Below are 26972 nucleotides of genomic sequence, written 5' to 3' on the forward strand. Positions count from 1 at the left end.
CAGCAGCTGTAACAAAGATAACAGTGGATTTCAAAATCTAGAATTTATTTCTCACTCATGTATAGTTTAAGCATAAGAAGTCCAGAACTTGAACTATGATTATACAAGGATCCAGAGCCTTTCTGTCTTGTTGCTTTACTTCTACCTTGTGTATTGCCAAAGGTGTGCAAGTAAACTGGCTCTTTGAGAAAAAATTACTGATTTGTATTATTTGCTGATTTTTGTTGCATAAATACTCCCACAATAGCCAATTTTAGGGTGTCAATGGTTCAAACACTGGATTGCAAAATTCCAGCTCTGGCATAAGTTAGCTCCAGCACACTACTGGGAAATGCCCTCAACCTCATGTTTAAGAAGGCTCATCAGCAGTCCCGCATTACGGCCAGAGGAAGAAGTCCTTTCGCTTATGAGTGTGACTTGATGTGGTACACATCATTTCCATTTACATCCTGCTAGTGAGAAGTCAATTACGTGTGCATGCCTAGCAGAAAAATAGGCTAGGAAATGTAGTCTTTAGTCAGTCTACTTGATTATGTGTCTAGCTAAAAACTAGATATTTGGTTCTTATGGAAAAAAAGGAAGAAAAGACATTGGTGAACAATAGCAGATTTTGCCACAAATATGCATTAACATCGGTGTCAATTTATAGTCATAATTATAAGAGGGACAATAATGACTGAAATGAAGCAAGTTGATATGAATAAGTTAATATAAGATAGCTGTTAATTTGAAATGATTTTTCCATTTCAAGTAACAAAGAAATGAATAATAACCAAAGTGCCTAATTAATAACAGGCAAAGAACAGTGCAGTGCTAAGTTAAAACAATGACAGAATGATAGATGTTCCAGAAGTTAAATATGATCTGTGTGCACTAATTATCATTATATGTTTTTCTGAAGGTTCTCTGATTGACATTTTAAAACATTTATTAAAAATTGCATTACAGTAGAACGGTTTAAGAAAAAAAATTGAACATTGAGAAGTCTTTCCCATTCCCCAACTGTCTAAAAACAAATCAACAATGACAGTTTGAGAATTTTATATTCCTAAGAGTTCAGATAGAAGAGTAAGATATCTATGGGAGGTTGTTTATAACCATAGTTGAACAACGGAGCTGGATTTTTTATTAAAAAAAAAAAAACACGAAAGTCCATGACAATCAGTACATTTCGTATAAGATTCTAGAGTTTGCATTAAAAGTACATTTATATTCCTGGATTACATTCTTCAGACCCACAAATCAAAATATCACCTCTATGCTAATCAGTGATACTGCCTACAATGTGCTACACCACCCTCCTTCAGCAAAACACCACCTATTAGACCTCCTCACATTCTGTAAGCCATTAAACTATAACCTGAAAGAGTGGTTACATTGACCTTCTTTCCTTAAGAGATTTGTCTCATGATTCTCAATCACATCAGATGTTTATTAATTTATATGTTGCAATTCTTCTGTTGTTTTAGGGGGAAAATTCCAAAAAGGGGATATTTTATATGGTTTTTTCACTTTCTCTTGTTGAATAAATTAAAAATAAAACTCTTCCTCCTAATGTAAAGAATTGACACTAGAATAGCTTTCATGTATGTAAATCTGTTTTTCTTATATGTATGATTTTCTACACTCTCAGTTATTTTATCATTCAATTATTTTTCTTTTCCTTCTTTCTTTCTTTCTTTTTTTTTTTTTTTTTTTTTTTTTGTGAGACAGTCTCGCTCTGTTGCCCAGGCTGGAGTGCAGTGGCGCGATCTCGGCTCACTGCAAGCTCCGACTCTGGGGTTCATGCCATTCCCCTGCCTCAGCCTCCCGAGTAGCTGGGACTACAGGCACCTGCCACCATGCCCAGCTAATTTTTTGTATTTTTTTAGTAGAGACGGGGTTTCACGGTGTTAGTCAGGACGGTCTCGATCTCCTGATCTCGTGATCCACCCACCTTCGCCTCCCAAAGTGCTGGGATTACAGGTGTGAGCCACCGCGCCTGGCCATTCTATTATTTTTTTATTCTGAGACTCTGAGTCACTAAAGGCATAGAGATGCTATTTTCAGTTTTTAAAATCACTATCAAACTTTCATCATTATTATTATTATTTGCCTGATACAGCTACTCATCCTCCTGTCTATGTAATACTTATTTTTTGTGTGTTTTTAATAGAGTTGATCTTTTTAAAGACCACTGGACATAGACTCAGATATGAGTTCATGTCTGGCCTTACTCTTTTCTGTAATCTTGGCCTAATCAGCTGATCTCTCGGATCTCAGTTTCTCCATTTGCAAAATGGGGATAATAATACCTGCCTTAGTGATTTATAGTGATTTGGAGGGCTTACTTTAAGAATTAACTATTTTATTTTGAAAGATCATTTTATTTGGTATTCTGTTCAAAACAGTGACTGGAATTGAGATTATATTAAAAATCTCTGATCTTTCTCATCACATTTTAGAACACATGGAAATAAATTGTCTCACCATGCAATTTTTAAAAATCCCTTAATTGCAGTATATTAAGACATTGGAACTAGAATATTTATTCTAGGAAATATTATCCTAGGGGACAATACTCTAACAATAACAACAATACATAATATTTATTGAACAGACATTAGACGAAAATCACTGTTTTAAGTGCTTTATAAGTATTAACTCATTTAATCCTCACAAGAAACCTATGGAAAAAGTATTAAATGATAAAACAGGAATATAAGTTGAATGTTTAAGACAGATACTGCCAGTGCTGTCTGTTGAAATTCAGCCTACATTCAATGCCAGAAGGCAAATTTTTCTCCAAAATATGTTTATTACATCTCTTTGTCCTTTTTTTTTTTTTTTTTTTTTTTGAGGTGGAGTCTCACTGTGTCGCCCAGGCTGGAGTGCAGAAGTGCGATCTTGGCTCACCACAACCTCCGCTTCCCAGGTTCAAGTGATTCTCTGTGCTCAGTCTCCCTAGTAGCTGGGATTACAGGCGAGCGCCACTTTTACGCCCAGCTAATTTTTTTTTTTTTTTTGTATTTTTAATAGAGACAGGGTTTCACTATTTTGGTCAGGCTGGTCTCAAACTCCTGACCTCATGATTCGCCTGCCTTGGCCTCCCAAAGTGTCAGGATTACAGGCGTGAGCCACTGCTACCAGCCTTCTTTGTCCTTAATGTCAGACTCATTGGCTTAATTTCTCTGTGGCCGCTAAGGAATATGCATTTTGGTGTGTTAACCAAAAACTCTTATTGTGTAACTTGGAAACTTCCAGTTTAAAATCTTTTTTGCTAAAATTCTCTCTTATAAAATATTACTTGGACTATACAATTTTCACTTTTATTATCATTTGTCTGCTATAGCTTTCCTCCACACCGATTTTCTATGTAGTATTTCTTTTAAGTGTGTGTCTGATAGAGGGTGTAAAAGGATTATTTTTTTTCCTAATTCAATCCAAGAATATCTGTTTTAGTGGATGATATAATCCAGTTACATTTGTTGTAATTACTAAATTTTATTTTCCAATTTGTTTGTGTTTTCTTTTAACCAGGCATTTCTTTGTCATCTTTGTCCTTTCGTACCTTCTATTTGCTCACTTTGTTTTTGTATTTTATTTTCAGTCATTTTAACCATTATATGCAAATAACTTCTTATATTTGAATTTATTCTGCTAGTTTGTACTGCTTCTTGAAGTAGTTAGCAGTTTTTTAAAATTTGAAGCCATTTCTTATTCAAATATTTCCTTATCCCATTCTTCATCTTCTCTTCCTTATGAAATCCAAGTACCCGTTGGTTGACTCTTTCACCATGACTCGTATATCTTTACACATTTTTCTTTATATTCCATTCTTTGTGCTTCAGATTGGATTTATTTTCTGAGATACTGTCCAGTTTACTGCTTCTCTCTTCAGATTTGTCTAATCTTTTATATTAGACATTACTGAGTTCTTAATTTCAGATATTCTTCAATTCTAGAATTACCATTTGATTCTTTCATATAGTTTCTAGTTCTTGGCTGAAATTGTTTGTTTTGTCATTTAATGCTTATGCATATTAACCTCCATTATTTTAAAATTATTACTCCAAATTCCAATATATGGATCTCCAGTGGATCTATTAGCTGATTTTTCTCTTCATTTTATTTTCAGTTAATTCTTTCCTTTTATTTACATTTATTTATTTATTTTTCCTGCTGCCTGTTTTTTATTGAGTATTATTGTATGTAAAAAATGTTAGATGTGATTTTATGTTTTTAGATCACATTATCTTTCTCCATAGAGGATTTTTCTTTTGACTCTGGTAGGTAGTTAAGTTGTAGCTGGTGCAAATTAATCCAATTATACTTTTAACTGATTCAAAGTTGGTCTTCAGTCTGCGAGTGTTAGTTTATTTCCAGCTCATATTTATTTCTAGGGTGTATCCTTTGGAGATACAAACTAAATATTCAGGGTCTATAGTAGAACCCCTCTTTCTTGGATGGTTCTGAGATTCAATTTTTGTCTTAAGCATTGAGAGACTGCCAAAAATGTTTTCTTTCCCCAGCTTCTTAGCCTCTCAGCTGTGCTTTCTGTTTTCCTCTTACCTTCTCTAGAGATATTGCTCTAGAATGTAACAATGCCTCTATGGGAACATTTAATCCTCCTTATCTCAACCTCAAAACTTCTGCTGTCCATTAATCCTCTAAGACATTCTCTGCTTTTTGAGAGGGGGAAGAGCAAGGAATTTCAACCACTGTTCCCTCATTATCCTGGACCACATACAACCTTCAAGCTCCATCTATCCTTATGTTTCTCTAAGCTTTTCTATTCTGCTGGTCAGGAATCACGGTGTAAATGGTAGCTGTTTATCAGACTGCTATTTTGGAGTAATTTAGGATGCTAGGCTACAGTTTTCTCATGCTCTAGATCTTCCAATCCTGTGAGATAAAGACCTATGCATAAGGGTTTCTGTTTTCCCAGTTAATTCCCAGAGCTTAGCCTGGAGCTTAGGTCATTGAGCCTCTTTCTCAGATACTGACCAGGGCCTAAAATCCAGTCATCTTCTTTCTAATTTCCCCTTCTTTGCTTTCTTTTTCAAATCTTACCAATTAGAGACAGGAAACAACTCTTCTCTACTTACTTATTGTTTCCACTTTATGGATTACAAGTCTGAACATGCTTTCACTCTTCATATTTAAAATCAAGCTTTTGAAATAACTAAAAATATACAAACAACTGTTTTCACTCTCAAACAACTGCTCTTTTAATTTGAACCCAGAGTTCTCAAAATTATAGTCTTTACTATAGTTTTATAAAAGTCAACTTAAATATAAGTAATTTGACTTTTACTTTTTATCTTAAAGTAAGATAAAAGGCAGCATACATAAATCCTTGTTGAAGTTTGGATGATTAGAAGAGTTAAGATTAAGAGTAATCTTCCACTAAATAGAGTGCTAACTCTGTAGTGTCCTGAGACAAATGATATAGCTATAGTGACAATAATAATGTCAGTCATTTATTGGGCGCATGCTGTGTTTCTTAAATGCCCACAATGTTTTGTGAATCTGTATGATTTCCTCAATAACTTTGTGAATTTATGATAATTACAAGTGAAAAAACTAAATGCTTTTAGAGGACAAGTAACTTGCCCAACTCACTAGTAAGTGGTAGCTGTGGAATTTAAGCCAAGGTCTGTCTGACTTCAAAGCTGTTTGTGTTTGTTCTCTATACGATGCATAAATTTTTAGCTATTAATAATTATAATTTACTTTATTCCTATCAATATAATAGTGGTAGTATGGAGTATCACCTGGGAAAAACAACTCAGTTTATGAAATACTGATATTCAGGTGAAATTTTATGTTATACTTGAGAAAGTGTTTTATAAGCTGTTGTAATATTTTATTTTTTCTATGTATACCTACTTTATTTTCTAGATTGTAAGTTTCTGGAGATAGGAATTTTCTTTTCTCTTTTATGTCTCTTAATATATTTATTATACTAAATCCCAAACAAATTTTTGATCATTATTGATTTCTGCTTTTTTCTAAAAAAATTAGATTATGTTTGTTAATTAATTACTTTGTAGTTGTATTATTCTATAGACTATTTTGGTGTTTGATGTTTTTTAAATTACACTTTTCATTTAACAAATGCAAACCTAAAGTTGCAATATAATTACAAGGGATTCCATATACCCTTCATTTAGATTCATTTGTTGTTAACATTTTGCCACATTCACTTTATGTCGCTCAAGACATATTGATGTGGACATTCTCATTATTATTTTCTTTTTGTTCTGGCGTAATCCATGTGAGAGTAAGCTGCGAGAGATCATGACCTTCACTCCAAACACTTCAGTGTGCATGTCTAAGAAGAAGCGCATTTTTTTGTATAATCACAGTACAATTATCAAATTCAGAAATGTTACTTTCATAGAAACTGATTATCTAATACCTTATTTATATCCAAATTTCAACTTTTTTGTCCAAATTACTGTCTTTTATAGCAACATTATTTCCTGATTCAGGATCATGGATTGCATTCGTCATGTTTTTTAAATTGCCTTTATTTTGAAATAGTTCTTCAGAATTTTACTGATTTTTATGACATTGACAGTTTTGAAGAGGCCCCTTCATTGTGTGGTTGTATCTGACTCCTTGCACCAGAAAATATATTGTCCAGGTACTTAGCGATAACTAATGTTCCTTTAAAAGGAATATAAGGGCTTTTAGAAAATATAGCTGCAGGTTAAATATAACTGCAGATAACACTAAGAGTTAAAGGGAATAATGTCAGACAACAAGGGAAAAGTTTACAAAGCTTTTTTTTTTTTCTTCACAATTTTACCCAGAACCAGCTCTGATAGTTACCATGGTCATAAGTTGAAATGAGAGTACCATTTTTTTCCTATTCTTACTGCAGACCAGGGTAATGAGATTTACCTCTGAACAATGAATGATCAAAGAGGCTTTTACCTACTGTTCCTTCAGGAAGCAAGTTTATCTCATGGTAAGCTAGTAGAGTATAGAAATCTAAATATCAAACTATAAATTCTGGAACTCAATTTGAATGTCAGAGTGGTAAGGGAAGAACACTGGGCTCAGACAGACCGAGAGATAATAACAATAATAGTATAGCAATAACAGCTATTTTTGAGCAATAAATATTTATGATCACTGTGCTAGCATTACCTTGTATCCTTAGAATAACTCAAGGTAGGTTTCATAACACCTGATTATAAGGCAGGGAACAGGTTTAGAGAGATTAAGTCAATTATCCAGCATCACAGCATCAGTCATTCAGGTAGTAAGGAAGAGAATCAGGATTATGTCATTATGTCATAGGCCTGTCTTAGCCCTAAAGAGTACTCCTTACTTACTACTAGGTTAACATTGCCTCTCAAATGCAGACTCCACCAATGTTATTTTTATGTCTTTAAGCCTCAATTTTCTCATTTTTAAAATGTTGATAACAATCTTCACAGAGTGAAAGAATTGTGTGCAAACCGACTGACTCACAATAGCTATAAAACTTCTCTTTCTAGTCAGATTCTAGACTTTCAGTTGTCAGTATATTGCTAGATAATTTTAACAGTCAAATATACATAACTATAATGCATGTTTAGATATTAGAAATAATAGTTTGAAAAAATTGCCAGGATAAAATCTCTACAACTTATCAGAGGTTAGAATAGGAATATGTATTCAGTAATTCATATTACCTAATTTTACCCAGATCTCTTCTTGTTGCTACATCCTCAAAATAATAATTTGACATTCCCTTCAACTTTCTTTTTTTTTCAGTCATGTATTTTTAGGTTTTCGAATTAACAGGAAAAAAAAAATTAGCACTGTTCTCTTTTCTCCACAGCCTTCATTTGTTTCATTTCCTCTTTTGTCACCTATCTCCTAGGCAACAAAGCAAACAAAGGAAAACCTTTTATTATCAAAAAATTAAAATAAAGAATTCAGATAAAAATTGAGGAATTGATGAGAATTGTCTGTTGAGGCTTATGTAACTGAAAAGAAAAGCAAACACTTGTTTTTTTTTAACTTCTTCCATTAACACACCAGCTGCCTCTCTAGGAACCCTCAGTGTGAAGCTGGCCCCAGAGGCCTCACTAGTGAGGGTTTGACAGTCTACAATCAACATTTGATCTTGAGCTTCTCTCCCTTACACATATCGTTATTTTTCTTTTCTTTACATGAAACTATATGTCCTGTCAGGATAAAATTACTTTACGTGTTCAAAGTAAACAAAATTGTTCATTCTAGTAAAATATCCCTCAGAAGTTTCTTCCAGGAAAACCCTAAACCAGACAAAAACTTTACAAGATTTTTTAGTTATGGTTTCAATATGTCTGCAAGTGATTTATTTTTCATAGTTCTTAAAATTTTGCTTGAAAATTATTTGCTTTTAATTCAAGAAATCCCTGCTATAATTCTCATTTGAAGAAAAAAATGTGCCAGTGAAATTTGTTAAATAAAATAATAGTTCTGAAGTAAATCAATAGCCAAACATCTACAGTGGATTTAGTGTGTAAAGGGTGGTTATGAGGCTTGGGTTATGTGGCCAGGGTGAAGCAGGATATTTCCCTGAACACTTCACTCTGGCGGGAACTGGAATGCACGGGTACTTGAACTAGCCAGCTGATTTGGCACTGGCAGGGGTGAACTCTACTCACTCAGACCTGCTGTGCTCCACCCCTCATGGGAAGGGGAGCACACAGGTGTGTGGGTACAAGAGCTGGGGCGAGTGCTTTTGGGTGCCAGCAAGGGCAAACTCTGTAGCAGCCCCATGGCAGCATCTGGAGGTGGGGGTGCCCATGACCCCTGAAGCCCCAGAAGTGTTACAGTACTGTTTTAGGTCTGCTGTCCATGGATGGCTTAAGTGTTAACAGCTCAGTGGAGCATCAGTGTGACAGCCTTTTGCACCTGCATTCATGGCACCCAAATTCTTGTCCAGCATCCAGGAGGAATAAGGTTGCACAAATAAATTGGAGATGGTAAATGTGGGGGATTTTATTTCCAATGAAAGTGGTTCTTAGCAGGAAGGGGAGCTGAAAAGGAGATGGAGTGGAGAGGTAATCTTCCCTTGAAGTCTGGCCATCCCCAGCTAGACTCCTCTCTGAAGCTACACTGTCAAGCTGTCCCCCTGAAGTCAAGCCACTTCTCTCCAACGTCCAGCTGTAGTCACTGACTTCCAGCTGCTTCTCCTCTCTCTGCTAGCTAAGCCTGGGTTTTTTGCGGGGAGGGGCAAAAGATGGGGGCGAGGTGGGCCATGGATGGTTTTGGAAAAGGCAACATTCAAGTGCAAAAACAGGGATGTAATTTCTCACTTTGGGCCATGGCATCGGGCTTTTCAGCTTGAGGGTGGGGCCCTCACCAGGGACCTGACATCTTCTGACCAGAATTTCCCTGCCTCCTGTCCCTATCATTTCCTCACTCTGAAAAGGCACATCTAACTGCTATTAGAATATGAATGATGGCCTGGCATGGTGGCTCAAGCCTGTAATCTCAGCACTTTGGGATGCCAAGGCAGGCGGATCGCCTGAGGTCAGGAGTTTGAGACCAGCCTGGCCAACATGGTGAAACCCCATCTCTACTAAAAATACAAAAATTAGCCAGTCATGGTGGCACATGCCTGTAATCCTAGCTATTCAGGAGGCTGAGGCAGGAGAATCGCTTGAAAACTCGGGAGGCAGAGGTTGCAGTGAGCCAAAATCTCACCACTGCACTCCAGCCTGGGTGGCAGAGCGAGACTTTGTCTCAAAAAAAAAAAAAAAAAGAATATGAATGCTGACTGGTCTTAGCTACTTCCTGCTGAAAGGGGGTGTTGTTTTGAGGAAAAATGGTAGTCGGATTCCTCCCAGAGGTTTGCCTAAGGGTCCCTGGAAAAAGGGAGCCATTGTCTGAGGCTCTGGTTGCCTAACCGCTTGGAGTTTGATGGCCTCTAGGTGAGAAAAAACAAGTTTATCAAGATTAAGTATGCATGGATCAAATATGTGTATTTTACAAAGAGGAGTTAAAAGAAGAGTATTTCATGCCAAAGATTACTGAAATAAGAAGTGAAATATACTAATCATCCTGAAAGCAACATTGTACGCCTGTGGTATAGAACAAAATGAAGTAAGGGCAGCAAGACTATAAAGAGGATATCAATGAAAGGTTAATTAGTAACACTAATTAAATAATAACTAAGTTTAATTATTAACACTAATCTTTTGTGATTTTTAGCTTGATGTCCCCAGTGTCCTTACATTGGTACTTCGGGTGCTCTTCAGGGTTGACAGAGGTAACTCCGTTGGCTTCCCAGGCCTTTACTCAGGTATAATGAGTCCATTAATCTATTCCAGTGACCCTCACTGCCGTAGGAGTAGAAAGAAATACAGTATAAGGTCCCTCCCAATCTGGGTTCATAGAAGGAGAAAGGGAAGGAAGTACATTTGCCAGTACTAGGTCTCCTGGGTTGAGTAGAGGTGCGCCTAGTTCCATGGGATTAGACCTTCGTTAGTTGTTTCAGTTCCTGTTGGAAATGGGCCACAGAAATTATATGTTTAATCAAATCAGAGGTTTCTTGGTCTAGCAAGAAATCATTGGTGAGAAAATGCTGTCCATACATCATTTCAAAGGGACTCAAACCTAGCTTTGAAGCAGTGTTTCTAATATGTAGTAGGGATATGGGGAGAAGGGTTGTCCAGGGGAGATGAGTAACCCAAGACAGTTTCCTGAGGTGCCTTTTGATAATATTATTTGTCTTTTCTACCTTTCCTGAAGACTGTGGTCTCCAAGCGCAATGAAGATGGTACCATATGCCTAGTGCCTTTGAGACCCCCTGGGTGACGGCCACCTTGAATGAGGGGCCATTATCATTCTGCAGGTACTTAAGGAGTCCAAAGTGAAGAATTATCTCATTAGTACTTTTATCACCTCAGAGGCTTTCTCTGTCTAACGTGGAAATGATTCTACCTAGTTAGTGAAGGTATCTATACATACTAGAAGGTACTGGATGCCCCCTTGCCTTTGGCGTATGGGTGAAATCCATTGGCCAGTCTTCCCCCAGCTAGCCTCCTATCCTCTGGGTTCCTGGAGGAATAAGACATCGGTTGAGGGGATTGATTTTAAGGCAGGTCTCTCAAGCATTAACAATCTGTTTAACCATTTGTATAATATTTTTACCTAATATAACAGTCTCTGGGCCAATTGATAGGTTTTATCCTTACCTAGGTGGAAGACCTGGTGAAGGCTTTAAAGAACTTTCTATTAGTTCATAGCCAGTAGATGAAGCTTGCCATTCTCTGATTGTAGCCATCCTGAGGACTGAAAGATGTATCCTCAAGAGGTGGCCCATTCTGTTTCCACAGGAGAATATTGAGGTTTTATTTCTCTAATGGGCCCTTCCCAGATCAGTGGAGCTTCAAGTAGATTGGAAATCTAGGGCTCTCTCACTGCTGATTTAGCTGCTTGGTCTGCCAACCTATTTCCTTTGGCTATTTCATCCATCTCTCTTTGGTGGCCTTTACAATGTATTACTGCCACCTCCTGTGGGAGGAAAACTGAGGATAATAGTGTATTAATTTCCTGATGGTATTTAATGGGAGACCTGTTAGCTGTGAGGAAGTTTCTCTCTTTCCAGATATTGGCATGGCATGGACAGCTAGGAAAGCATACTTAGAATCAGTATAAATGTTAACTGCTTTCCTTGTGCTTGAGTGCCTTCTGATGGCAATTAGTTTGACTAGTTGAGCACTTGTGCCCGAAGAGAGACATACCCCTGCTCTCAACAGTATCGTTTAGAGTAACTATTGCATACCTTGCTTTATGGATCCCTTATTCTACAAAATAACTTCCGTCTGTGAAGAGAATACAGTCTGGGCTCTCTAAGGGGGTTTCCTTGAGGTCTTCTCTGTCTGCATATGTTTGTACTACTATCTGTTCACAGTCATGTTCAAGCTCCCTAGTTTCCTCTGGGAGGAAGGTGGCTGGATTTAGGGAGGGATGGGTTCTTAATTGAACTGCAGATCTCTCTAATAGCAGAGCTTGATACCTGGGGAAGTGGCTGTCTGTTAACCAGAGACTCCCCTTAGAAGACAGCAGTCCTGCCACATTATACAGAGTGTAAACAGTTAAGTTATTCTCCATGGTTAACTTAGTAGCCTCTGGTACCAGCAAGGCTACTGCTGCAAATGCTCGGGGGCTGGCTGGCCATCCTTTGGCTACCTTAATTAAGCTCCTTACTTAGGTAGCCTACAGGCTGCTGGGCTGGACCCTGGGCCTGGGTTAGAACCCCCAGGGCCATTTCCTTTCTTTCTGACACATAAAGATTAAATGTCTTCCCTATGGGGAGATTAAGGGCTGGTACCTTAAGCAATGTGTATTTTAGTTGGTCAAAGGCCTTTCTAGCCTCCAGTTCCCAAATTAGAGAATGAGTATTAGTCGAGTGGGTCTCCTTTATTAGGTGATAAAAGGAATGAGCTATTTCACCATATGTAGGTATCTATAGTCTGCAGAATTCTGTAATGCCTAAGAACCCCCTCAGTTGCTTCAGGGTTTTGGGGGAGGGGGAAGGAGGAGATGGGCTTAATCCTTTCTGAGCACAATGCTCTGGTTCCCTCTGACAAGATCAGGCCTAGGTACTTCACTGAAGTCTGACAGAGCTGAGCTTTAAATTTTGAAACCTTATATCCTCTGTTAGCCAGAAAATTAAGAAGAACCTTACCACCCTCCTGAGAGATTTCCTCAGTTGGAGCATAGAGGTGAATATCATCTATGTATTGTAAAACTTTAACCTGAGGATAGAGGAACTTGGAGAGGTCTCCTGACAATGCCTGCCCAAACAAGTTGGAGCGGTCTCAGAATCCCTGAGGTAACACCATCCTGGTTAACTGGGAGGTTTGGTTTGGTTTGGTTTGAGAGTGATCCTCAAATGCAAACAAATACTGGGAGTCAGGGTATAGTGGTATGCAGAAAAAGCATCCTTCAGGTCTAGGACATGAACCATTTAATTACCTCAGGTATTTGAGCTTGGAGGGTATACAGATTGGGAGCCACCAGGTGAATTGGAACCACAATCTCATTAACAAGGCGGAGGTCTTAAACTAGTTTTCATTCCATGATGGGCTTTTGTATCCCTGATGTTGGAGTATTACAAGGGCTACTGCAGGGTTTGAGGAGGCCCTGAAACCTTGATATCAATGATGGCTTCTGGTCCTTTCCTAACTTCTGGTTTCAGGGGATACTGTTTCTGGTTAGGAAAAAAGGTGGGATCCTTAAGGTGGACCCAGACAGCTATGGCGGTTCTGGCTTGGCCAATTTTGCAGTGAATGGCCCAAACTTCTGGGTTAATGTCTATCTCCACTAGGGGGAGACAAAGAGTTTGTCCTGGGACCATCATAATAGTGGTCCCCATATGGGAGAGAATATCCCTGCCCAACAATGGAGTTGGGCTTTCAGGCATAATTAGAAAGGTATGGGTAAACAAGAGGTTTTTCCAACTACAACTAAGGTGTTGGGGAAAATATCAGGTTAAAGGCCTTCCTGAGAGGCCCCTCATGGTCATGCTAAGAGAGAAGAGGGGGCCCAGATTGGAGAGGAGAACTGAGAGACCAGCCCTGGTGTCCAGAAGGAGGTCCACTTTCCTTCCTTCGATTTCCAGAACTACCTGGGGCTCCTGGATGATAATAGTGGTCTGGACCACTGGAGCTGGGAAGAGGAGAACTGGGACCCATCAGTCCTGTTGGGGCACTTGGGAGATTAGCTCTGCATCCAATGACCAGTGTTCCTGGTGACAGTCCACCTTCCAGTGGTCCCCATTGCAAATTGAACATGGTCAAGGCAGGTTCCTCATGCTGCCTGAACAATCCTTTCTAACATGTCCTGGCTTACCACATCTGTAGCAGTTAACAGGGCATCTCAGGAATTCTGGTGTTTTGGGGCTTGTGTGGTTGCCATTAAAGCCTCTGTCTCTTTTCTGTGTTTCCTTTCTCTCTGCTGGACCTCCCTTCTCTATTATAAAAGACCAAGCTGGCCACTTTTAGGCGGTTCTTTAAAATACTATCTAGTCCCAGGGCCTGTTTCTGCATCTCCCTCCTGACATCAGGGTCTTTGCCTGAGTAATACATTTGTCCTTTAGGATTAGTTGTCCCTCAGCTGAATCAGGAGATAGAGAGGTGTGCCTTACCAAGGTCTCTCCAGGAAGGCAGTGGGATTCTCATCAAATCCCTGGTCTATCATTGATAGCTTGGTATAATTGAGAGGCTGAGTTCTAGACCTACCTAAGCCCTCCATTATGCACACTTGAAAGTGTCTCCTCTTCCATTCTCTCATCTCATCACTGAGATCCTATTTAGGGTCATCCAATGATACTGCTTCACTTCTAGCTGGATAAAGTTTTACTCCCTCCCTGACACTATATGTGATTCAAAGCTCATACCCATATCTCTCTGCCACTTGCAGAGCAGCCTGCTTCTCAGTGTTAGAGTTTGATTCAAAAGTAACATAATATCTTTCAGGAGAGTTCAAATACTTGGGTTAAATTCTGGAAAGCCTGCATATATCTGTCAGGGTCATCTGAAAGCTTGCCAAGATCCCCCTTAATTTGTCTTTAGTCCTGTAGCGAGAAGGGGACCTGGACCTTACTGGGGCCAAAATCACCAGGCATCTGTTGGAGGGCTAAGAGTGAGGCTGGGGCTTGTCTAAAGTGAGGATTTCTAGGAGGGGTCAAGCAAGAGAGAGAAACTGGATAGGAAGGATGTGGTAGACCCAGAGGAGCAGGGCTGGAGGAACCTGGCTTCCTTCTGGAGGTGCCTGTGGGGTTCATTTCTTTAGTTCCCTGGGATTACCCTTGCAGCCTCTCCTGAGATGGCAAACAGGAGGGCTGGATCAATCCTACCATGTTGGCAAAGGTCTGGATTACCCTGCAAAGTAAAGAAAGCCTGTGCGTATGGGGCCTCAGACCATTAGCCCTCATATTTACAGAAAAGGTCTAACTACAGGATGGTATCAAAATGAATGATTCCCTCCTGAGGTCAAGCCAGTCCTTCCTGCAGATCATAATTTGGCCAAACCTTTGTTCAAGGGACTTTGAGGTGATTTTGCTCCAGAGTCTGAGGGTCAAAGTAGTCCCAGTGACTCAGGATATACTCCAGAGGAGTATAGACTGGGAATTGTGCAGATAGCTGGTGGCCCATTCTGAAACACAGGGAAATAGGCATCCCTTATTTCCCTTCCATCTTTCAGTAATAACCCAGGGTGTGAGGGAGAGAGAAAATGGGTGTCCCCACTTTCTTTTCTCTCTTTTTATCCCCAAGACCTGGCGATCTTAGACAGATACCTTCCATGGGTGCCACTGAAGCCTGCACTTGTGAGACAGAGAGGGCCTGTGCCTCCATTCCCCCTATGGTTGGCAGCCTTTGTGTTCCCTGGGCCTTATCTATGCCATGGAAAATGGCCTCCTTCCATGAAGCAGTGGCTTAATCAGCAGGAATTAGTCCTACTCATTTACACTGCACCTGTGGCCTGGCTTTGGATTCCTCAGATCTGGTTTTCCTTTCTAGGGCCTCAACCTAAAATTTAGAATTGAGTTTGGGACAAAAAGATGTCTCAGGGGGAGCATGGATTTATGTAGATTAAGTTCCTGACAGGCCTTGCCAAATTTTCAGTTATTAGCTGTTGGGGTCATTCCTCTGTTACCTCCCTATCATAAGCAGAGTGATGAGGTAGGAAAAGAACTCTCTTGCACGGAAAAGAAAGAGGGAAAAAAACAGCTTAAGAGAGGTGAAAGAACCTCTTGCTGTATGCAGATGGGTTCCTTTAATCATTGTATCCCTCCTCTGGTTTAGACTGGCCAGTGTTTCCTTCCTCGGCCAGGGGAGGAAAGACTCTATGGGTGGGTGGCGGACGGGGCCTGTGAGTGGGAAACACTGGCTAGCTGGCCGCGTGGTGTCCCTGGCTCCTTAGGCTGCCCTGAGTCACTGGCGGGAGCTGTGCTTCTCTCCCATCCAGTGTGGCCATTAAGCGTGGCACATGCATGCTGCCAACATGCCCAAGTGCTCCAGCTGGGAGGGGAGAGGGTGAGGAGGGCGCTGCCATGCACTGCACGCACCTGAAGCTATTGGGGTGAGGGTGGGGATGGAACCTCTAAGAACCGACAGAAATCATATTGTTATGAATTGCATATCTGATAGCTGGGCCAAATACTCATTCTTCCTAGTAATATTTCTGCAGCTTGTGGCAAAACACTTCACATTATAAAAGAAGAGATAGGACCCATTTCAAAGGAAAGTTACAACACTGAGCAGTGGCCTCTGTCAGATGCCTTCGGTTGACCCAGGACTTCATTCTGGTCCCACATGATGGCTAGGCCTCCATAAAGGGAAACAGAGCCAGCATTCCTTTCATCCTAAAGAAAGAGATGGCGGGTTTGCATCCTGTCCTCTGCAAGTGGCATAGCTCAGACAAGTCTGAGGACAAGAGACAGATCCGACAGATCTGCATTTACTTACACTTCTGGTGAATTCCAGGCAGACCCCAAATGAAGCAGGATATTTCCCTGACTCTTTCATGGGTGGGAACTGGAGGTAACAGGTGCTGGAACTAGCTGGCTGCTTTGGTGCCAGCAGGAGCAAATTCTACTCAATCCGATCTGCTGCACTCCACCCCTCGCAGTATGGGGAGCATGCAGGTTGCAGAGCTGGGGAGAGTGCTTTTGGGCACTGGCAGGGGCAAACTCTGTACCAGCCCCGTGGCAGCATCTGAGGGGGAAACCCATGATCCCTGAAACCCCAGAAGAAGTGTTACAGTACTCTTTTAGCTCTGCCATCTGCAGACAGCTTAAGTGTTAACAGCTCAGTGGAGGGTCAGTGTGACAGACTGTATTAGTCAGGGTTCTCTAGAGGGACAGAACTGATGGAATATATGTGAGATATATATATATATATGTATATATGGGTGTTTGTTAAGTCTTAACTCACGTGATCACAAAGTCCCACAATAGGCCGTCTGCAGGCTGAGGAGCAAGGAGAGCCAGTCTGACTTCCAAAACTGAAGACCTTGGAATCCAATGTTTGAGGGCTGGAAGCATCCAGCATAGGGGAGAGATGGAGGCTGGGGGCTAAGCCAGTCAAGGCTTTTTACGTTTTTCTGCCTCCTTTATATACTGATTGAACTGGCAGCTGATTAGATGGTACCCACCCAGATTAAGCATGGGTCTGTGTTTCCCAGTCTACTGACTCAAATGTTAATCTCTTTTGACAACACCCTCACAGACACACCCAGGATCAATACTTTGCATGCTTCAATCCAATCAAGTTGACACTCAGTATTAACCATCACAAGGTCACCCCTTGTCAACTTGAACCCATAGATATCTCCTGAGCTCACACATAATCTTCAAATAATGACAATAATAAGGTCATAATTATGCCTAACATAATACAACTATCTTTCGTACAACTGGAAATGTACCAATTCCCAACCCAAATACTGTTACACAAATTTAACAATACTTAAATGCTGATGTGAAGTCAATAAATCTTATGTCACACGATAAAAGAGAAAGGAAATAAAATGAAGATATTTTCTTCATATGAGTGTATACATGCACAAACATGTTTTGAACAAAAGAATAAGGAAATACTCATGACAATTACAGTCCTTGTTTCTGTAGCTGGTCACATGGTTGTAGCTGGTATTGATGACTACCTTCTTCTACTACCCTTTCTATATTCCCTTTGCCTTCAGCAAGCACCTCAGCAGGTCGTGGTTTTCTTCCTGGTGGTGTGACCCAAACCTTCGTTCCTGAAGTGTCTGTGTCATTTGTAGTCCTGCCTGGATTGGGCTGTTGTAGTTTCCCATTGACCCTAATCACAGGGCATGGTAATACTAAAAAATGCCCTAATGGATCTTCTCTATTCCATAAATACTCTTCCTTACTTCCCTTGTTGAGTAGCAGACTGATTTCATCTTGATAGTCTGGGTCAATCACCATAGCCAACTCTGTAACTCCTTTTTTAGCCTGTTGACTTAAAGGTAGGAGAAGCCCAAAGTGTCCAGGTGGCAATCTTAACTTCCAGTTCAGTGGTCCTTGTTATATCTCCTGATGCAGGTTTCCTCTCTCTGGAACTAAGACCTCTAGGCCAGCAGAACAAAATGTCCTAAAAACATGAAGTAAAAATTTTGCTAGTGCATCACTAGGGGTGATGGTGAGTGGTGCCACTTCCACTTCCACCTCTTGATTCCTGGACCTGTGAATTCTGGCTATGGGAGAAACAGTGCCATATGTTGGATGCTGATTCATAGCATACACGGCCTTCTGGAGAACTTTGCCCCAGCCCTGGAAAGTATGGTCAGCTAGTTGCTTTGGGATTGTATTGTGACTTCAAAAGATCATTCACCAGTCTATCAATCCAGCTGCTTCAGGATGATGAGGAACATGGTAAGACTAGTTAATTCCATTAACATGAGCCCATTACCACACTTCTTTAGCCGTAAAGTGAGTGTCTTGGTCAGAGGCAATGCCTTGTGGAATACCATGACGGTGGATAAGGCATTCCATGGTCCATGGGTGGTAGTCTTGGCAGAAGCATTGCATGCAGGATAGGCAAACCCATATCTGGAGTAAGTGTCTATTCCAGTGAAGACAAACCACTGCCCTTTCCATGATGGAAGAGGTTCAATATAATCAACCTGCCACCAGGTAGCTGGCTGATCACCCCGAGGAATGGTACCATATCGAGGGCTCGGTGTTGGTCTCTGCTTCTGGCAAATTGGGCTCTCAGCTGTGGCCATAGCCAGGTCAGCCTTGGTGAGTGTAAGTCCAAGTTGCTGAGCCTGTGTAGCCTCCATCCCTGCCACCATGCCCACTTTGTTCATGGGCCCATTGAATAATTCCAGGGTTGGCTGGGGAAAGAGGCTGAGTGATGTCCACAGAATAAGTCACCCTATCCACTTGATTATTAAAATATTCCTCTGCTGAGGTCACCCATTGGTGAGTATTCACATGGGAAACAAACATCTTTATAGTCTTTGACCACTCAGAGAAGTCCATCCACATACCTCTTCCCCAAATTTCTTTGTCATCTAGTTTCCAATTATGCTTCCTCCAAATCCCTGACCATCCAGTCAAACCATTGCCTACAACCCATGAATCAGTATATAATTGCACATCTGGCCATTTCTCCTTCCATGCAAAGTGCACAATCAGGTGTGCTGCTCAAACTTCTGACCGCTGGGAAAATTTCCCTTCACTGCTGTCATTCAGGGATGTCGTAGAAAGAGGCTGTAGTACTGCAGCTGTCGAACCTTGGGTGGTGCCTGCATATCATGCAGAACCATCTGTAACCCAGGCCCTAGTCTTCTCTACCTCTGTCAACTGATTGTAGGGAATGCTGCATGAGGCCATCAGTGCAGGCTGGGGGACAGAAGGCAAGGTGTCAGGAGTGGAGACCATGGGCACTTGAAACACTTCTTCATGCAACCTACTTGTGCCTTCAGGACCTGCTAGAGCCCAATCATGTATATACTTCCATTTGATGATGGAATGCTGCTGTGAACACCTGACTTTATGGCTAGATGGATTAGAAAGCACCCAGTTCATGACAGGCAGTTCTGGTCACATGGTGACTTGATGACCCATAGTCAAACATTCTGTTTCCACCAAAGCCCAGTAACAGGTAAAGATCTGTCTCTTAAAAAGAGCATAGCTATCTGTGGAAGATGGCAGGGCCTTGCTCCAAAATCCTAGAGGTCTCCACTGTGATTCACCTATGGAGGCCTGCCAGTGGCATCCTATCTGCCACTGACACCTCAACCACCATTGGATTGGCTGGGTCATACGGCCCAAGTGGCAGAGCAACTTGCACAGTAGTCTGGACCCGTTGCAGAGCCTTCTCCTGTTCTGGACCCCACTAAAAACTGGCAGCCTTTCAGGTCACTCAATAAATGGGCCAGAGTAACACACCCAAATGAGGAATGTGTTGCCTCCAAAATTCAAATAGGCCTACTAGGCATTGTGCCTTTTTCTTTCTTTTTTTTTTTTTTTCTTCTTTATTGTATTTTTTTTTAGATGGAGTCTTGCTCTATCACCAGGCTGGAGTGCAATGGCGCGATCTTGGCTCACTACAACCTCTGCCTCCCAGGTTCAAGTGATTCCCCTGCCTCAGCCTCCCAAGTAGTTGGGACTACACCTGGTGTGTATGTATGTATATATATATATATATATATATATATTTTTTTTTTTTTTTTTTTTTTTTTTTGGTATTTTAGTAGAGATGGGGTTTCGCTATGTTGGCCAAGATGGTCTCAATCTCCTGACCTCGTGATCTGCCTGCCTTGGCCTCCCAAAGTGCTGGGATTACAGGCGTGAGCCACCACACCCAACCGCATTGTGTCTCATTCTTGGTTGTAGGAGGGGCCAAATGCAGCAACTTATTCTTCACCTTAGAAGGACTATCTCAGCAGGCCCCACACCACTGGACCCCTAGAAATTTTACTGAGATTGAAGTTCCCTGAATTTTAGTTGGATTTATTTTCCATCCTCCTACATACAAACATCCCACCAATAAGTTCAGCATGTTTGCTGCTTCTTGCTCACTGGATCCAATCAACATGGTATCATCAATGTACTAGACCAGTATGTTATCTTGCAGAAGCAAAAAGCAGTCAAGTTCTCTCTGAATAAGATTATGACACAAAGCTGGAGAGTTGATATACCCCTGAGGTAGGACAGTAAAGGTATATTGCTGGCCTTACCAGCTGAAGGCAAATTGCTTCTGGTAGGCCTTACATTAGCAGAGAGTGAGTGTCCAGTAGTCCCCAGAATGTCTGATCATTTCCCTGTCTCCAATGCACAGTTACCCTTGTAAAAGGTCAGAGGACTCCTTGGGGAAGGATGTGAGAAAGATTCACTGCATAAATTGTTGGTAATGTAGTGGGGTCCTTCCTCAAGGGGACCTGGCCTTCCATTCATTCAAGGGGTTCTGGGTCTGTAAACTGGCTCAAGTCTGGAAATTGATTGAGGGGCTGTGATTCTTTTTTTTTTAATAATTCAAATTAATCTTCTGTGGTTTCAATCTAGAAGTTTTCTGCTTATATAAATTAAGCAGGAATGCAGTAGGCTTCCTATCAATTTCACTTATAGGATCACCATGATTAATTAGCCAATGCCAGAGCTCTACACAACTCAGACTATTCTGATTGTTGATTTCCCTCTGCTATCCATTACTGTAGCTACACCCACCTTGCATTTGATGGTTGAGTGCTGCCACTTGGCCCTTGCTACCTCACAATCTAATTATTCTCATTGTATTTGAATTTTTAGTTGAGTTACTGTGGTTCCCACTGTTAGATCTGACATACAGAGAAGAGCAATTACAGGGCTCTTCAAAGGTACAGGTGCTGCCCTAACAAATCTATTTCACATGGCATTGGTCAAGGTTATAGCTTCTGGACCCTCTCAGCTGGGATGAGTAGGTCTAAAGTGACTAATCCACTCCACCACCTCAATCTCCCTAAGCCTTTGGATCACTTCCTCAGGCATTTTCAGCTCATTCACAGTGGGCCATCTTTTAATCTATATTTCAGCTAACCAAGCTAATAAACTATTAGAACTTTTTTTAACTCCCCGAGGTGCAACATTAAATGCAGAGTCCCTACTTAGTGGGCCCAAATCAATAAATTCAGTGTCATTCAACTCTATGTTCCTTCCACCATTATCCAACACCCTTGATATCCATTCCCATGCTTGTTCTCCAGATTTCTGTTTATATAAATTTGAAAACTCAAGCAGTTCTTTTCGAGTGTAGCACACCTCCTCATAGGTCACATTCTTAGCCTCACCTCTAGGGGCCCAACGGGACTTTAGTCTAGTTATAGGACTAGGAGCAAACGGGGATGTTGGGGGTGGCTTCTGAAGAGAATCAACATAATCTTGCCGGCAACTGCCTCAGGAAAGGCCATCACTGTTGCCTCAGGCAGCACAGGGTTTATCTCCTCAGACAAAGGTGGAAAGGCTGATGGCAGCATGGGTTGGGGAGGGGATGTTGCCACTACTGGGGATGGGAAAGCTGTTTCTTCTGGCAAAAAATATTCATCAGAGTTTAAAAACTCAGTGTCCCTAGCTTTATCAGGGTCCTTTCACATGGCCCCATTCCAAGTTGCAGGGTCACATTCTTTTCCAATCAATGCCCTCACTTTAACAGTAGACACCTGGTGAGGCTGTGCATGCACCTTTCATTGCAGGTCAGCCACTTGCATGATAAGAGATTGTGTCTGCCTTTCCACAATTTTGGCTCTTTCTTTACAGGAGATAAGGATCTCACTCAGGGTAATCTTAGCAGATTTAAGGCTCAGTATCTGCTTCGGAAGCCAGGAGATCGAATCCCTGAGTTCATTATTTTATTTTTTTTTCATTACTTGATCCACTGAACTTAGGAGCGAACAACCAGATTCATTATGTTCCTTGGTTCTCCACTTATGGTCAAAGGTATTATGTATAGAGTCATTAAACTCTTTGCCTTTCATGCAGGATGAATCAGGAGTGACAGATGCATTTATTTTGCATAACTCTCTAAAGAGTTCATGCCAAGGACTATCCGTGTTCTCCATACTATTAGAAGTAAAGCCTTAGCATTTTGGGGTCTAATCATATTAATCGGACAACTCTAGAAACCCCAAAACCAATGAAAGAACTCCATCCTTAATATTCTGTTCCTCTAGAACCACTCCTCGTACAAAAATCTGTATTAGGGTTCTCTAGTGGGACAGAACTGATGTTACATATATATATATATATACACACATATACATATAAAGGGGAATTTATTGTCTTAACTCACATGATCACAAGGTCCCACAATAGGCCATCTGCAGGCTGAGGAGCAAGGAGAGCCAGTCCGAGTTCCAAAACTGAAGAACTTGGAGTCAGGTATTCAAGGGCAGGAAGCATCCAGCACAGGAGAAAAATGTAGGCTGGGAGGCTAGGCCAGTCTCTCTTTTCACATTTCTCTGCCTGCTTATATTCTAGCCATGTTGGCAGCTGATTAAATGGTGCCCACCCAGATTAAGGGTGGGTCTAAATTTCACAGCCCACTGACTCAAATGTTAATTTCCTTTGGCAACACACTCACAGACACACCCAGGATTAATACTTTGTATCTTTCAATTCAATCAAGTTGCCACTCAGTATTAACCATCACACAGCCTTTTGCACCCATACTTGTGGCACCCAAGTTCTTGTCCAGCATCCAGGAGAAATGAGGTCACACAAATTAATTTAATATGGTAAATACAGGAAATTTTATTGCTGATAAAAGTGGCTCTCAGTGGGAAGGGAAGCTGAAAAGGGGACAGAGAGGGAAAATAATCTTCCTGGCCAGACTCCTCTCTGAAGCTATGCTGTCAAGCTGTCCCTCTGAAGTCAAGCCACTTCTCTCTGACACCCAACTGTAGTCTCCAGTGTCCAGCTGCTTCTCCTTTCTCTGCCAGCTGATCCTGGGTTTTTTGGGGGGACAGAATGGGAGAGGGTTGGGCCAGGATGGTTTTGAAAAATTCAACATTTGAGCAGAAAAACAGGGATGTAAGTTCTCATTTTGGGGTGTGATCTCAGGCTTTTCACCTTGAGGGTAGGGCCCTCACTAGGGAACTGCCCCTTTCTGCCCAGAATTTCCCTGCTTCCTGTGCCTATCAAGGGCATCTGGAGTCATCAGAAAAGGCTTCTGCAACCTGCGTACAACATACAGCAATATTTCTTAATTTCTTTGACTCCTGTATACTGTTAGAACCTTTTAGCTATTTCAAGCCAAACTTGGCAAAAATAAATCAAGAAAACAGCAAGACAATGGTTGCTGCCCTTTTATAACAGAGTATTGGCCCACATATTTTAGGATTGTACAATTTGTTTTTCAATATTACAATGAGAAAATAAACTACAGTATCAGTTAAAGATTTCACCTCAGGAAATTAAAATATCAGCTGTCATAAATACATAATGTCATCACAAAACAAATACTCCATTCCAAACAACATTTCCATGTCAAGTTCAATTTGTACCTTCCACTTACCTTAGGCTAATAAAGAAGGACTTTCTCTGGGAACCGCTATGTACTATGCAATTATGTCATAAAATGAGTACCCTGTCTGTAATCAAATCACATTTTCCTCACATCTGAAGTTGACAGGTAACCCATTGATTATACCTATGTACTCTTATTGCAACGCAAACTTCTGTCACCATGGCTACCACAGGTCAGGCTAGAATGCCTAGGTGGTACTAATACTAGAAATGGCTGGCGTTTCGTGAGCACCTGCAAGGTATTAGACTCTGCAGTAGGCGGCTTTTCAACATTTGTAATTAACCTTACAAATTTAGAATTGTTTTTGCAGTACATACATAAGAAAATTAAAACTTGGGAAGGTAAAATAATTGGCCAAGAATAGACAGCTATTAGATGGCAACATTGGAATTGAAATGCAAATCTTATTTCCAAATCTAGGGAATTTCTGCCATAACTATTGCATATAAAGGCAGGTAACAGAATCATTGGAAGTAGAATAGGTGGAAATGGCCTTATTTTATGCTCCAAATATTATGGCATTCCTTTTTGGTAAGTCATTTCAAGGCTGACACTTCTATTATTATTATTTTATTGTTAACAAGTCTTATAATATTGCTACCAGGTTTCTGGCTTGGGTGGCTGAATTTGAAAATATAGGTAGGATATGTCATAAACAGCTCTTATTATTTTGAGATACGTCCCATCAATACCGAATTTATTGAGGGTTTTTAGCATGAAGGGCTGCTGAATTTTGTCAAAGGCCTTTTCTGCATCTATTGAGGTAATCATGTGGTTTTTGTCTTTGGTTCTGTTTATATGCTGGATTACGTTTATTGATTTTCGTATGTTGAACCAGCCTTGCATCCCAGGGATGAAGCCCACTTGATCATGGTGGATAAGCTTTTTGATGTGTTGCTGGATTCGGTTTGCCAGTATTTTATTGAGGATTTTCGCATCGATGTTCATCAGGGATATTGGTCTAAAATACTCTTTTTTTGTTGTGTCTCTGCCAGGCTTTGGTATCAGGATGATGCTGGCTTCATAAAATGAGTTAGGGAGGATTCCCTTTTTTTCTATTGATTGGAATAGTTTCAGAAGGAATGGTACCAGCTCCTCCTTGTACCTCTGGCAGAATTCGGCTGTGAATCTGTGTGGTCCTGTACTTTTTTTGGTTGGTAAGCTATTAATTATTGCCTCAATTTCAGAGCCTGTTATTGGTCTATTCAGAGATTCAACTTCTTCCTGGTTTAGTCTTGGGAGAGTGTATGTGTCGAGGAATTTGTCCATTTCTTCTAGATTTTCTAGTTTATTTGTGTAGAGGTGTTTATCGTATTCTCTCATGGTAGTTTGCATTTCTGTGGGATCGGTGGTGATATCCCCTTTATCATTTTTTATTGTGTCTATTTGATTCTTCCCTCTTTTCTTCTTTATTAGTCTTGCTAGTGGTCTATCAATTTTGTTGATCTTTTCAAAAAACCAGCTCTTGGATTCATTGATTTTTTGAAGGGTTTTTTATGTCTCTATTTCCTTCAGTTCTGCTCTGATCTTAGTTATTTCTTGCCTTCTGCTGGCTTTTGAATGTGTTTGCTCTTGCTTCTCTAGTTCTTTTAATTGTGATGTTAGGGTGTCAATTTTAGATCTTTTCTGCTTTCTCTTGGGAACATCACACACCGGGGCCTGTAGTGGGGTGGAGGGAGGGAGGAGGGATAGCATTAGGAGATATACCTAATGTAAATGACGAGTTAATAGGTGCAGCACACCAACATGGCACATGTATACATATGTAACAAACCTGCATGTTGTGCACATGTACCTTAGAACTTAAAGTATAGTAATAAATATATATACACAAAGATGTTAATCTAAAAAAAAAATTAAATCTGAAAAAAAAAGAAAATATAGGTAGGATAACATGTTCATTTAGTTTAAATATATTTGAATATATTAAACTTATGGTGCTTGTTTGATATCCATTTTATCTTTCCTAATCCATTGGCAAGAAAACTGCAAGCAAGCAACAGCCAGGTACACTGAGAGGGTATTGCCTTTTGACAGTACTCTATGTAAACACAGAAATTCTATGGTAGCCTTTTAAAATGTCTTTTGAGAATCAGAGTGAATCACTGTAAAGGGATAACCTTAATCACTTTTTAGAGCTGCCAGCTGGAATCTTAACTGGAAATTCTGCAGGAAGACAATGACTGACTGCTAATGCTTTCAGTTGTTGATGACCTAAAAAAAATTGCTGTATCACTCATTCTTAAAAGATTATTATTATAACTGTATTGTTTTAGTGGTGTGAAGGTACATTTCCTATTTCTTGTGATTTATAGCTCTGTATTCCCATTAATGTAGCCATTTTCCACAGGCAACTGTGCAATGAAAAGGAAAGGATTAAATCAACATTGATTCTTATTCACATGAGGTAACTTTTATCTGTGCAGATAATAATTCCTTTTTTTTGGTAATTATTTTACTTGCTTGCTTCTATATTGTTACATAATAGGCTGATGATTTCCAATTATATTTCCCATTATACACTACAGGCAACTGTCCAGGGTAGAGCGAGTGATTCATTAAAAACAAAAATGCAATGCACACGTGTAAAATTATAATGTGGCTATAAATTAAATTATCAAAATTTGAAATCATAGAAATCTGGATGTTTATCTCTGACTACTTTGCAATTTACTTTGAAAATATAGGATTTTTTGATAGTAATAAAAATATGAACTAGAGTTGCATTTTTTTGAATTGGCAGAGCACAGAATGTACACCATTCTATAAATAGTTCCTAAACATTGGATTAAACATAAATAAATAAAATTTTTAAAATTATAACTGTTTTATAGCATGCATACACACTAAATCTTTTAAGCCTATATTTTAATATAGCAAATATATATATATATATATATATATATATATATATATATATATATAGGGGCTTTATAAATATAGTTTTAAAATGTT

At 40.2% G+C, this 26972-nt stretch overlaps 1 long non-coding RNA gene across 3 annotated transcripts in view, besides 1 other annotated feature; it reads left to right on the top strand.

Annotated features, from left to right (window-relative positions):
- The window catches only part of CALCRL-AS1 (CALCRL and TFPI antisense RNA 1), a 544253-nt gene that overhangs the window by 158199 nt on the left and 359082 nt on the right, over positions 1-26972 (top strand). The gene's annotated exons all lie outside the window — the stretch shown is intronic.
- Positions 13131-13425: an enhancer, noted in NCBI's record as "tiled region #15485; K562 Activating non-DNase unmatched - State 12:CtcfO". NCBI's record gives its function as "activates a minimal TATA promoter and a strong SV40 promoter by Sharpr-MPRA in K562 cells {active_cell/tissue: K562}" and the evidence as "EXISTENCE:reporter gene assay evidence [ECO:0000049][PMID:27701403]".

The sequence above is a fragment of the Homo sapiens genome, chromosome 2 (assembly GCF_000001405.40).
Source record: "Homo sapiens chromosome 2, GRCh38.p14 Primary Assembly".
In the NCBI taxonomy this organism is placed as follows: Eukaryota; Metazoa; Chordata; class Mammalia; order Primates; family Hominidae; genus Homo; species Homo sapiens.